Below are 14,536 nucleotides of genomic sequence, written 5' to 3'. Positions count from 1 at the left end.
TGGGCACTCTTATTCTGATCAGCCTTTAAATACCATCTTCTTGCTCATTTATTTACCTGCCTCTTCAGTGAACCCCTTTTATATTCAGACTTATATATTAAACGGCCTACTTGACATCTCAACTTGAATGTTTTAACACAACCATAACTGAGCCCTTGAGTCTCCTTCTGACCCCCCGAGCTGACTGTTCCTCAGATTTCATCTCACCACATGGCCCCACCATTCCCCCAGGTTTTCAGTTCAGAAATTTAGAGAAAACCCTTGATTTCTTCTTTTTCCTACACCTACTGCATCTAAACCATCAAGTCTTGGCAATTCTTCTTCCTCTCTCTTTCTTTAGTGTAGAAAGCCAAATTTCTGTGTAGTTAAAAACAGAATAGAAATGTATATGGCATGGTCGGCTTTCTGTGAAGAATATCTGGTCCTAGCACACTGTTGAGAAGAATTAACAGTGAAATTTATTTTGAAAGTTGTATTTAAATATACTTTAAAATAAAATATAGCATTTGTTTTATGTTTGTGGTATAGGTATTGTGCATATTATGGTAAAGAAAACAATTACAAACACAATTTTTGACAGTTTTCTCAGATTTATGTTTCTTATTCTTCCTCAAAAATATCTTGAAACAGTCAAATGTAATAACCTATTAGTTTCAACAAAACTAAGTGATATATATGGGCTGTGACAATTAATAGAAAATATGCCATTTGTTTAATTAAATATTTAAGTACTAAACCATTATCAATATTTCTATTTGTCCTGAAAATTGGCCTATTGAGGGTTCTTTATCTTTTCTTTCAAGAAAACATTCTGCTAATAGATCTATAATATTTGCTATTTTGTATAAATAGATTTAAAGTGTTTTGTTATTTGAAAATACTGAGAAAGTATATTAAGTTTCATGAGAGTTTTCCTCTGTTTTCTTCTTTTTAAAAAGATGCATTGCTGTTTGCTCCCTTGGGGTCTGGATATGTGAAGAGCTTGCACAGTGTACAAGCCACCCTCAGGTGAAAGAGGCCATCAATGTGATAGGAGTAACTCTGAAGGTATTACCAGTTTGTGGTGCTGATTGGATATTAAGCCATATCTGAGGCATTTAACAGTTTGAGTTTGAATTAGCCCCATCTTTTTTATCCCCCAAATGACAGAGGGATTGTGATTCCCATTGCATGTGCTGTGAGGCTCCCGGGAGGGGCACCAACGGATGCTCCCCTGCTGGCAGCTGCAGCCTGGCCACGAGTGTCTCGAGTCTTCCTGGACCAGTGGCCAAATGGGTTCCTCTGGTGGCTGGGAAGCTCCTGTCGCAAAGAGGTCACCTGTCACCTGTTGGTGGGGGTGACAAGAGAGTGGGGTGTCGTGCTCTGGCCTCTTCAGCAGGCCTGGGAGAGGCCTCCACACCTTCCAGTTAGGCCTCTCAGTGTTCACCATCTGGCTGAATCTTGGGCACTTTAAGGACATCTTTGTTTCTTTGTTTTGTTAATGAGAAGAAGAACTGCCATTCACTGGGCACTCACACTAGGTCAGAGTAATGGCGAACTCTAAATAATTCTGTTAATCTTCAAGACAGCTCTGCAAGATAGATGTTGCAATTTCTGTTTTATACCAGAGGAAATCAAGGCCCAGAGAAATTAGGTCACAAGCCCGAGGCCACACAGGTATAAGTGATGGAACCAGCAATAAAAGCAGATCTGTGTGGTGTTAAAGACATGCTTGAACTTTCACAGGTGCTGTTAGGCTGCCTCTAAGCCAGAGCTCAAATCCTGCTGGATCCTTTCCTAGGTCCTGCTTGGAAATGGTGGTAATAAATAGCATTGCCATTATCACACTTAGGGAACCAGTGAGTGCCTGGTCTCTGCCAGGCGCTGTGCTGAGGGTTTTGTGGAAGTTCTTAGTTCAGGGGTAAGCGTCCTCAGTTTACTGGTGGAGGAACTGAGGTGCAGGATCATTAAGGAACTTGTTCAAGGCTCTAGAATGACCACCTCACTGAGCCAAAGTTCAACCCCTGAACCATCCACCTAACACCAGCATTCAGGCTGCTGCATGCCCTTCTGTGCCCCCTGCCACATGCAGCTATAATAGCAACGGCACTTACAGCTGACGCCTGGGACTGTCGCCATCAGGCCAGCAACAGTCTCTGTACCACCCTTTGTGCATTATCTGCTTCTGCCCATAGGATGACCAGCCAGTGCTGTCTCCCATCCTTGATTTGGCGTCTGGCCCCTGCTTGACCAAACTCAATGCCTCCTGTTCCCCAAGTACACCCTCTGACCACCCCCATTGCCTCATCCTCCCCTATTTCTCCTCCACAACACCTAGTGGAGGTGGGGGTGGTGGTTGTATTATGGGAGCTGGAAAAACACTTGCTGCTGATCCCTGTGATGAGGAATGGAAAAATTATCCAACCAAAATATCACAGAAGAGTGTCCCTCCAGCCACAGCAGGGTGCTGAGCCCTGACCTTTGTAGGCAAGTTTAATCCGCAGAGCTGCCCTGTGAGGGGAAATGTCAGTGCCACCTCCACTTCACAGATGAGGTAGATGAACTGACTAGGAACTGAAGGAGCTTGCCAAAGCCAAACCCAGAACACTCTGGCCACATGTGTGGAGTTTTACACAACTGAGGTGTGTGGGATACCTCCTGACTCCCAAAGCCATGGAGAAATATTTACATATAATTTATTAAAGTGAAAACAAGTTGGCTATAAATTATAGATCAATGTAGATTCCAATTCATTTTTAAATACCCTTTTTCAATTCCAAGATCTGTTTTTGAATTTTTATTTTTTCTTAAATCTAGATGTATATAGTTAATGTAAGGTGGTTCCCCCATCTCTACTCCTTCCATGGAAAAACTATGAATAACTCGGTGTGTTAGATTGAAGGAGATAGACACACACAGACACACAGAGTCACGCATCGCATAGTGATGGGGATACATTCTAAGAAGAGTGTCGCTAGGTGATTGCATTGTTGTGTGAACATCATAAAGAATATTACAGAAACCTAGATGGTTTCTGGACTGTGTGGGATGGCCTGTTGCTCTGAGGTTATAAACCTATACAGCACACTACTGTACTAAATACTGTAGGAACTGAATATTCAATTGGAACACAATGGTAAGTACTTGAGTAAACATGTCTAGACATAGAAGAGGTACAGTAAAAATATGGCACTATAAGCTTATGGGACTAGTGTTGTATATGTGGTGCTTACCAAATGTTTCCAAAACATATTTAGGAGGTACATGACTGTATATATATTTCTATATAGTATAGGAAAGAGATGGAAATTGATAACAGAGTAGAGGGATAGATATTCTTTCTGCAACTTTTCTATAATTATGGGGGAAAATATAAGACACCAGAAAAACAATGCAGTTACCACATATTGAGCTCTCACTCTGTCCGCTATCCCAGCACAGCATGGAGATTGTCCTGTTGAATCCTCCCCCCTCTGGATAGCAGCAAAAGAGAAGAGGACTGAGGAAGGTCAAAGAACTGACTCCAGCTTGAATTGCTAAGAAAGCAGAGGGATCAGGATGCAGCCAAGTTGTTCTGTCTTTAACCATTATTAATAACAGGAAACTCATTGACTTAAGTCCTGGTCTCTGAGGACACCTCCCTCCCCACTGCCCTCCTCTCCTGCCTCCCTCTAGTTTCCGTGTTGCTGTGGCAACTGGGTTGTTTTACCTAAGGACATAGCACATAAATCGAAGAAATGAGGACTGGGAGGGAAAGAGTTGCTACAAGGAACGAGGAGAACAACCACCACTATGAGAACAGGGGACTCTAGGAGGCTTTGGGGCTCTGCCAGGAGGGAGAGATGGAGAAAGAGGAGGCAGTGGGGGCCTTGGCCCCACCCCCAGCCCAGCCTCAGCCTGCTTCATGGGTAGCGGAGAGTGCAAGCTCTGGCAGGGCTTCCTGCTTTACGGGCTCCACATAAAGCCAGCACCACCCCTCTTGTAAGAACCCTTCAGAAATGCCCTGCAAGGGTGACCTAGGTGCACCCATGAATGTGCAGAGCATTCCACTCAGCAAGGTGTTGGTTGGCTGGTTTGTTTATGGTGGGGTAGCAGATGGATGGCAGGCATGGGGTGGTTGGGGGAGGTGGTTCTAAGCCACAGCCATACTCACCAACTCTTGTGAACTGCCCAGCCCTGCTCCTTCTCCCACCTCGTCTTCTGAGACATGACTGACTTTCCTCCTTCTCCTTACCCCACTGTTTCTGGCTTTGAGTCCTGCCAGCTGTACTTCCTGAATGCCCATTGAATACCCATCGTCCGTCCCACCCACTGCCCAAGTCCATCCCTCACACACTCACCCTGCCAATACTCAGCCTCCTGATCAGAGTCACCAGTCCTAGACTGGCCCCCACAGATTACTGTTCATACCACCGTCAGAGGGATCTGTCCATGCACAGGCTGACCTGTGCAGCCCACAGGCTGGAGCGCTCAGCATGGCACTCTGTTGGTGTTCTATGACTATATGCTGGAGAAGTGAGAGAGCAAATGAATGGCTTATTTCATCTCCACCATTCCCCACCTCCTTCATTACATGTCAGTAACACCACCCTGCCTGCAGCCCCCTGTATCCGACCGACCTTTCCTACCTTGGTGCCTGGGCCTTGCCACCCATACCTGGAAGGAGACCCCACATCCCCCCTGCATTCTCCAGGCACAGCTTAGCTCTCCTCTCCCTCCACGATGCCTTCTCTCTGCCTGTTTTCCCCCAAGCCTCATGTCCCACTCCTGTCTGCCCATAGCTTTTGTGTCTTGTCTGTGGGCTCTCGTAATTTTCCCTTGTCTGTTTCCAGCTTCTTGAGTTCAGAGCTTTGCCAGCCTTATCTTTCCACCTGGTGACTCTGCCACTGTGGTGCATCAGCAACACACACAGTGCCCACTCATGTTCTCCCACTCTCTCAGAGTTTCATCTTCACCTTAGGCACACCACGCACATCCTTAAGGGGGCCATGCTAGGCATTAAAGATACAGTGGTGAACAATATATGCAGGAAAATAACAAACAAAAAGGTCAGCGCTGATAGCCTGTAATGCTGTGAAGGAGATCTAATAGGGGAATAGGATGAAGCTGAAGAGCTGAGGGGGTGGGCCACCACCCAGCTCTTGGGGGTGTGGGGGGAGGGCGGTGTGGTGGCCTCAGGGAGGAGATGACATTTTGTGCCACAATTTGAAAGGTATAACAATGCAAGCCACATGCAGACCTGGGGATTAAGTGTTCCAAGCAAAGTTGGGAAGGAGCAGGTGCAAAGGCCATGGGGCAGAAGCAAGCCAGAGTGTTTGAGAGATGGAACAAGGTCAGTGGAAATTGGGTCATCTGGGATGTGAGGTCTCTGTGGCCAGAGAAGGCTGTGAAGAGCCCCTGAGTGCAACGACTACAACCCTGGGTTTAGCTAGTGCCTCTCAGGTAGGGGTAGTCAGTAACTGTTTATTCTGTAGAATTAAAAACCTTTCCCTTATCTTCTTCCTTATTCTGTACATTTGTCACTGGGGCACTAAAAGTTGATGATGGTCTGCTTCATGTGGCTTAGAGTGAGGTGTCCCTAGACTAGGGTCAGCGACGAACCTTTCCTGCTATAGATAATGAGATATGGATAATGGTGTAGCCCCATGTTCTGGCCAGGGAGGGAAGCAGAGGGTGCCCTTGTCCCTTCTGTGCTCTCCCAGCATGAAAAAGTAAGACCTTGAAGGTGCTGCCCTTAGACATGCTGCCTCGCAATCAATGGAAGCATCCAGCCCTTGTTGGTGACTTGAGATGCACGCCAGCCTCAGGAAACATACTCAAAATAATTGAGTATACCATAATTCATTAGTTATCTTCTCCTACACTCTAATTTTACACATTCTTAGTATGTTATACATGTAGGTCAAGTTTTATTTCATAGGATAGAAAGCCATTTGATCAATCCCTGTTTCTCCATGTGTAAAATGAAAATAACATCTACCTTGCAGAGCTGTCAGTGAAGATTTATCAGTGAGAGAATGAGTAAAATCCTTGTAAAAGGTTCAGTGTATGGGGGTACATTTTAATTTTCTCTAGTTGTCAAAAATATGATTTATGTGAGCTGAATAAGAAATTTGAATTATGGTTTTAATTTCCAAATGAGTAAATGAAAGCTCCTTGTTCCTGTAGAACGTTATGTAAATTAACACAGTGAGGCTAGAGAAGAGACAGTTTTAAAATGGTGATGTGACGATGTCTAAACTCTGTGGTAATAGGACATATTTTTCATCAATTTGAGGCAAAACAGATAAATGTAATCTATAAGGAACTGAGAAGAAATAACTATTTTGTCCTTAAGAACGATACACCTGTTAAGTTATGTGTCTGCTTTGGGATTCGGTTTCCTTTTATAGTTTCCCAACAAAATCGTGGCCCAGGTAGCTTGCGATGTCCTTCAGTTGCTGGTTTCCTACTGGGAGAAGCTTCAGATGTTTGAAACCTCTCTGCCTCGGAAAATGGCAGAAGTAAGTCTTTTTTTCTGTAATACTAAAACATAAGCATTTCCTTTTTACTGTATTTGATATTTAATTAATTATAGATATTCAAATAATTGTTAGAGAACCAACTATTAAATTGCCACAAGTCACTCGTTTTAAGATTAAGTTAGACTGGTTCTTCTCAGCTGTGATTTCAGGCACTATGTAAAGAAGCCAGCAGTATTCCAGACAGAGGCTTATACTTGGGGAGTTTGAAAGGCAGGCACGACCACAACAAAGAGACCTTTTGTAGATTGGGCTTCATTCATCAAGAGCAATTTGGATGGTGCCAACAAGGAGTAGGCAGCTGGTTATGATGCCCTCCGTGAGGGGTGGAGGGGGGCAGCTGTTGTGTAAAACAGAAGTCTCTCCCAGACTAAAGCCCTGGACCACACTTTCTGCCCTAGCATGATTACCGGCTGTAATGAGATTGCTACCACGATAACCTTTGTGGGGGTAACTGGTAGGAAAGAGGGGCGGAAGGAATAGGAAGAATCTTCTCCACAGTCATATCCTGAAGGCCACTTGCATCCAAGTGTGCTTTGCCTGTACACAAGCAGGCAGCTTCACTCCCGTAGGTGTCCATGGGATAAGGCACTTCTACTGATTTTTGTAGCTGCACTTTAAAAACATGCCCTGTTCTTATACATCCAGTGGTAACTCTTCGAGGAAACTTCATTTGTCCCCATGAGGTATTACAAGGAGAGAGAAGTGATATTCATTTATTTTCTCTCAGCCCTAGACAGATTTCACTGGAAAGAACACTTTGTTCTCTCAGAGACACGTTAAAAGGCACAAGTGATTTTTGACCTTAAGTGACCTAGAGTGAAATGGAGTTTGGACATGGGAACATAAAGTGCTCTGAAATGGAAAGTAGGGTTTTGGGGTGATGATGTAATTTATCATCTAAATGGGACTGCTTTTGAGAATAAAAGGGGTGCTGTTTACACCAGGATAGCAGGTGGAGATGTAGGGTAATTTACAATAAAACTAAAATGGGAGCATTTTCATAATTATTTTTAGAAGTATTTTTTTACTTCACTATGAAAACTGTGGAAACCAATGTTCAGAATTATGTGACTGCAGAGAGAAATACTCTTTTCTCTGCCTTCCCTCCTAATTTTTCAACCAGAAAAGTAGAGTGGAAACTGGATGTGGCCCCATTGTCTTTCCCTAATTTTCAAGATCACCACACAGCTGGCCCTCTGCTTTTTATCACCTTTCTGTGGTGAGTTGGCACCAAGCTGGGTTTAGTTGCAAGGCCATCGTGGGACTCCTAACATAGGCTTACAAAGGCTTACAAATATGGTCTGTTTGATTGGGGATTTATCTTTTATGCAGATCCTCGTGGCCACAGTTGCTTTTCTTTTACCAAGTGCAGAGTACTCCTCAGTGGAAACAGACAAGAAGGTAGGTGGCACATTAACTAAGTTTTTCCTATAGTTTTTTTATTTTAATGTAAGGTAAAATGATAAATAATGTTACAACTAGTGATATCCTTTGTAATATCCTTCTCTATTGGCCTTAACAGTCTTTTTTGTGAAAATGCTACTTATTTATTTATTTATTTACTTACCTACTTATCTAGCACCTGCATGTCCACTGAATACTGGGTGTAGGGATAATTCTCTTATTATTACATGTAGTGAGGTTTAAGAGACTGCAGCATAAGCTACCGGGCATGTTCTTCTTCCAGTTTATTGTGTCCTTGCTACTCTGCCTCTTGGACTGGTGCATGGCATTGCCCGTGAGTGTCCTTCTCCACCCCGTGTCCACAGCAGTCCTAGAGGAGCAGCATTCGGCCAGAGCCCCCTTGCTGGATTATATCTACAGGGTGAGTCTACACCTGGGCCTGGGGGAATGGAGTGTGGGTTTATATGACAGAGAACCACCAAAATATGTCTTATGCATGTACTTATTTGTCATTGCCCTTTTGAAAAGGATTTATGGTGGCTTAAACGTTTTCTTAAAAAGTAAATAACTTGGCTGGGCACGGTAGCTCACTCCTGTAATCCCAGCACTTTGGGAGGCCGAGGCGGGCAGATCACAAGGTCAGGAGATTGAGACCATCCTGGCTAACATGGTGAAACCCCATCTCTACTAAAAGTACAAAAAATTAGCCGGGCGTGGTGGCGGGTGCCTGTAGGCCCAGCTACCCCGGAGGCTGAGGCAGGAGAATGGCGTGAACCTGGGAGGCAGAGTTTGCAGTGAGCCGAGATCTCGCCACTGCACTCCAACCTGGGCAACAGAGCGAGACTCCATCCCCCCCCAAAAAAGTAAATAACTTAAGGACTGAAAGCAGAACAGATGTAAAGAAGCAGTGGTTAGTTACCAAGTTAAAGATGCATGCATTTTACATGACTATCATCTTTAATCTTTAAACAACTGCAGTTTTGTCAGAATTCTTCAATTTTCATGGAACATGTTCTATGTCTACTTAAAGAACTGTTCATATTATAGGGATATCTACATTAATTTTTTCCCTAGGGCAAGTAGCTTCTTTTTAAAAGATTAATTTATTTTTGTTGATACATATTAGATGTACATATTTTCAGGGTACATTTGATAATTTAATACATTCACGTAATCAAATCAGGGTAATTGGGTTGTCTGTCTTAAATGTTTATCTTTTCTTTATGCTAGGGACACTGGAATTATTCTCTTCTAGCTATTTTGAAATCTACAGTTGATTAATGTTAACTACAGCCACCCTACTAATCTATAGAACACCAGGTCTTATTTCTTTTATCTATTTGTATACAGCATTAGTTTGACAAAATCTGTTTATCAAAGGAAGAAAAAGGTTTAATGGTCTTAATAATCGTTTTGCCTCAAAAAAATCTTAAGAAATAAATTAAGGAACTATGTCACATCAAAGTAATTAGCGTCATCATTTTTATAACATTTAAAATATTCTTAGTTAACCCCCCATCCCTTCCCTCTACACACATACACACTGATGACTAGGTGTGGCATTTGCTCTGGATTGCTTATAATATCCTTCTGTAATTTGTCTTAACAGTGTCTCTCAAACCTTGGTTGTTTGTTTAGCATTTGCATGTCCACTGAATAATTACTGCTATGGAGGGAAAATTCTGTGGTTTATTCTTTTAGTAAGAAACCTTTAATAATAAAAAAGAGTCCAAGTCACAGACTGATTACTTTGTTGCCTTATTTTTAAAAGTATTACTTTAAAAAAAAAACACCTAATTGTGGTTGAAATTCTACTAAAAAGTATTTGTGTATTCTTAAATGGTTTCTTCAGTAGTCAAAGATTTTAATAACTATATTAGGATTCATTAGATACTTCTGTTGTTTTTGTGGTTTATAAACCTGTACAGAGCTTGGTTTGGGCCAACGGCATTAGCCACAATCACTTTTGTAAATCTCTTTTCTGAGTTCTTTCTTTTCTTAAAGATTTCTCTTAAAATTGCTTTACCACTGTAAAAGTCACCTCATAGTAAAAATTCATAAATTTACTAAATAACTGTTTGTTTTGTATTTTAAAAGTAAACTTTTTATTGAAGTATAATATGCTTCCAGAAAACTGCATCAGTCTGTAAGTGAAAGCCTGGTGAATTTTTACCAAGTGAGCATGCTTGTAAAATCAGAGTCCAGATCAGGAAACAGAACATTCCTGGCATCCTGGAAGCCTTCTCTGTGCCTCCCCATAGCCACTGGTCCCATACCCATGTCCAGGGATAGCCGCTATCCTGTGTAACAGAGCAGAGTAGTTTTGCCTGTTTTGAACTCTATACAAGAGTCATACAGTATATCCTCTTTTGTCTGACATCTTTTGCTCAACATTATTTTTGAGTGATTTATTCAAACCGTTGTGAATATTTGCAGATTTTTCACTCTTGGTGATATATAGTATTACATAGAATAAACCACAATGTATTTATACATTTTACCGTTCATAGACATTTGGATAGTTTAGAGTTTTGGACCAATAAAATGTGAATATTCAAGGTTTTTTTTTTTTTTTTGTACATATACGTATGCATTTCTGTTGGGTGTATACCTAGGAGTGAAGTTGCTGGAATACATGTATTCTGCCTTATTGGTGAACACCAAATAATTTTCCAAAGTAGTTGTGCTAGTTTACACATAACGTGTGGTTTTAATGTGCATTTCCTACATTTATTGCATTTTGGCTACTAGAAATTAATTCTCTCAGTGATTGCAGCTTAATTTTTAAATTAATAAGAGAGCTGCCATAAGGATTTTCCTATACTGCATTTTTTGCTAGGAAGAGGACATAGTCAAGTGGTTGCCCTGACAACTGTAATTCTTGGTACTTATTTACAAAGGGTACCTGACCACAAGGCCTCTTGCCATGTCAGCAAACCAAAGCTAGTCATCTAAAAGTGAATTTACTTTACATAAATATATTTAACCCAATGGTGTTTTCTTATTTTCTCAAGTATTACCTTGATTCTTATAAAAATCAGTGTTTGGAGTTGATGATCTTGAATTTATGATTAAAAAGGGAAATCTGTTACAATTATTACCTCATTTATGCATTTTGGCATATTCAAGATGATTTGTGTTTGCATGGCTTGTATGTGTACAAAGGCTCAAATGAGTAGATAGATCTTCAATCAACTGCAATTTGTAAACAACCAGTGAACTTTCAGGAACTAATCTTGTGAAAATAAGAATAATTTAAAAATTGTATTAAGTTAGCCCTTACAATTTATGGCGTCATGAGTTATACTAATTTAAACTCATTACTGGTTATGACGTGCACTAATGGTCTCTGCTTGTTGTGCTCATTCCACCCTCCACCGTGATTGGCCTGTCCCACCACTACCCTTCATCCCCAGATTAGTTCCTTCTACCTGTGCCGCCTTTGGTGGACAGGAGGGGGACTTAGGTATGTGCAATCACACAGAATGTGAATAAGTACTTTTTAACTTTTACTTTCCTTTTGCCTTGAGAACATATTTCTTGGCATTGATATGAAAGGAGCAAAATAAATTTGCTAATAGCAAGAAGATATTTAAGAGTGGTCATTCCATTTCCAGCTAGGACCAAGCAGGAGTCCTAGCTGCCAAGTGCTGCAGTAGTTTGACAGATTGTCAGGGGACACGCGGTGAGTAGCATCCGTGGTGCACATGGCCTCTGTTTTCACAGGTTTTGCACTGCTGTGTGTGTGGCTCAAGCACGTACACCCAACAGAGTCACTACATACTGACCCTGGCTGACTTGTCATCCACGGATTATGACCCCTTCCTGCCACTGGCAAATGTGAAGAGCTCTGAGCCAGTCCAGTATCATTCATCAGCAGAATTGGGTAACCTGCTGACTGTTGAAGAGGGTGAGTATTCTTTCAGGTATGAAATCTTGTGGGAAGGAAAAGGAAGGATTTAGCCTTTAGCCATGCTTGCTCTATTTTTTTTTAATCTAGTTGTTGAAGTTGAAATCCTAGTTCCTGGAGTCCTCTGTGATGGCAAATTCTGCCTTCCTTGTTTCTTCTTTTTTTCTCCTCTGTTTTCCCATTTTAGTAGTTCAAATGGTTTTTGTATTATTGAAGACAGGTATGTCTCAAATCCATGGAACTCACAAAAAAGGCTCATTTTCTATCCTCAAGGAGCTTTACATCTAATGGAAAACACACAGTGAAGTCCAGAAGGACTCACTGTGGACTGGTAGCACCATGAGGGCTTTCCATGAAGAAGGACTTAAGCCAGACTTAGCAGGGTGGGCAGGTGTTGAAAGGAGCTCATAGATTGTTCCAAGTTAGGAGAGCATCATAAAAAGAGATGGAAATTTACTTGCTACAGTTTTAGATTTGCTCTGCTCATAGCAGAGAGTCCATTTCAGAGCATATAGGGATTGTCAGGACTTAGAGCCTGCTGTATTTCTTACTTAAGCACCCCTCTCCCCAGAATGATAAGAGCCCAGCTTTGGGCCTTGGAATGGGAGTAGAATGTGGGTATACTGTCTATACATATGATAAAATTGCATAGAACCAAACACACACACACACACAAATGCATGCATGTAAAACTGGTGAACACTGAGTAATATAGATGGATTATTATCAATGTCAACTTCCTGACTGTGATATTGTCCTATAGGTATGCAAGATGTTACCCTGAGATGAAAGGTATTTGAGGTCTCTCTGTATTACTGCTTACAACTGCATGTGAATCTTCAGTTGTCTCAACACTAAAAATTAGAAGAAGGCCAAGCATCATGGCTCCCACCTGTAATCCCGTCACTTTGGGAGGCCAAGGCGAGCAGATCACTTGAGCACAGGACCACTTGAGTCTGTGAGGTCAAGGCTGCTGTGATCAGCGCCACTGCACTCTAGCTTGAGCGACAGAGTGAGACTCTATCTTAAAAAAAAAAAAATTAAAGAGATGTAGGTGTGAAGTGTTAGATCATCCATGAAAATTGTATGGACTTCACAAGTTAAAAACCTAGGCCCAAGACTAGAACCTTGTGGGCAGAAACATCCTTAAGGACAGCAGAGTGAGGGAATGTCACCAGGAAAGCAAAGTCAGGGAAGTGGAAAGAGGACCAAGAAAGAGTCATTTCTAGCAAGTCAAGGAAGAAAGCAAATAAGAAGTTGAGAAAGGTCAGCAGTGCTAGTTGCTTCAGAAAGCTTAGGGAAGGTGAGAATGAAACAGGAGCTGTTATATTTCCCAACTAGGTGTTTGGTGGTAGGTTTTGCCAGAGCACTTTCACCAGAGTGGTGGGTCCAGCCAGATAACATGAGCAGGTGACCTGTGCAGTGACAGTCAGATCCCTGAGTCAGACTCCTTTTGTGAGGCCCTTAGTGGAAGGAGGAAGGACACAGCAGGCAGTGGCTGGGTGAGGGAGGACAAAGGTCCAGGGGTATGCTTGCAGCACTACAGAGTCTGGAGCAAGGTTCAAGCTGACATGAAGGGGAAGGTGAGATGAGGATGAAAAAGACAGGACTGGGGGTGACAGTCATGAGCAAGGGCTTAAAATCTAGCAGTCCTGATTTTAGCTGCATTTTGTAGATGAGCAAACTGAGGTTAAGGGATATTCCCAGGGGTGTGTACAAGTCAGAAGTAAGGGAGGTGGAATTTGAACCTAAGATTTAATGACCAAGTTCCTAAAATGCATTATTTACTCTGAAAGTTTTGACGTGGAGTAGACTTAACACTCTTGTTTTGAGTTGTGTTGGTGGTGGATGGTACATGGTTCATTTTCATGTTGTTTTCTTGATTTGTTCTCCATTTATTTAATCATTTAATTGTTTATTTCTGGAGCTCCACTGTCAACTGCAATGTCTGCTTTACTTTTTCCCCCACAATGATAAATTATTTTTATTAAGTAATTGAAACAACTCTTAATCTATTTCGTTGTTCCCTACTGTAAGTTCATATGTCTTATAATAAAATTAACTTGTTTTTTCCTAAAGTCATCAATTTATACTCATCCACATGAGTATATCCCCAAAACATGGCTATCCCTAAAATAGGTTCACCATTTATTATGAGTTGTCACTTAAAAATAGCAGAAGATAAATAGGTTATTGAAAAAGGAAAAACCTAAAAATATACATTTAAATTCTGGCACCATTTTTCTTTCAGTGTACAATACTCTTTGGGAAACATTCCCAAGATAGTTCTAAAGTACTAAAAATAATTGCTTAAACTTCTCTGACAAAGGAGTTTTTAAAATTCACTGACATATTAACTAAGCAAATAGGCAAGATGCTTAAAAACATATTGGTGTGCACGTCCTTGCCAAGCGGATACATCATATAGAAAGTGAAAAGGAAAAATAAAGGTGATAGCGTGGGTATTTTAGGTTAAGCAAGAAAGAGCTCAAATTTGAGGGTATTTTTTTTCACTCAGTGTAATGCTTCATCATCCATAACAAAACTATCTCTGGTCAGGGTGGCCGGGCGTGGTGGCCGACGCCTGTAATCCCAGCACTTTGGGAGGCCAAGGCAGGTGGATCACGAGGTCAGGAGATCCAGACCATCCTGGCTAACATGGTGAAACCTTATCTCTACTAAAAATACAAAAAATTAGCTGGGCATGGTGGCAGGTGCC

At 41.7% G+C, this 14,536-nt stretch overlaps 1 protein-coding gene across 21 annotated transcripts in view; it reads left to right on the top strand.

Moving 5' to 3' along the window:
* Positions 1-14,536, top strand: part of RALGAPA2 (Ral GTPase activating protein catalytic subunit alpha 2) — a 323,115-nt gene that overhangs the window by 179,911 nt on the left and 128,668 nt on the right. For 20 of the 21 annotated variants that reach the window (XR_007067471.1, XR_937111.3, XR_007067470.1 and 17 more), the window contains 5 exons: positions 939-1,047; positions 6,372-6,482; positions 7,836-7,904; positions 8,191-8,328; positions 11,634-11,817. Coding sequence is in view for 13 of the 21 variants with exons in the window: in XM_011529310.3 (XP_011527612.1) it covers positions 939-1,047; positions 6,372-6,482; positions 7,836-7,904; positions 8,191-8,328; positions 11,634-11,817 (611 nt within the window). In the remaining 8 variants the exon portion in view is untranslated. Of the gene's footprint in view, positions 1-938; positions 1,048-6,371; positions 6,483-7,835; positions 7,905-8,190; positions 8,329-11,633; positions 11,818-14,536 lie in introns of those variants that run through there. The other variant, XR_937114.3, reaches the window with a different exon arrangement.

Source organism: Homo sapiens, chromosome 20 (assembly GCF_000001405.40).
Source record: "Homo sapiens chromosome 20, GRCh38.p14 Primary Assembly".
NCBI classification, from domain to species: Eukaryota; Metazoa; Chordata; class Mammalia; order Primates; family Hominidae; genus Homo; species Homo sapiens.
The sequence above is the reverse complement of the archived record's forward strand: the minus strand, read 5'-3'. Positions and strand labels throughout refer to the sequence as shown.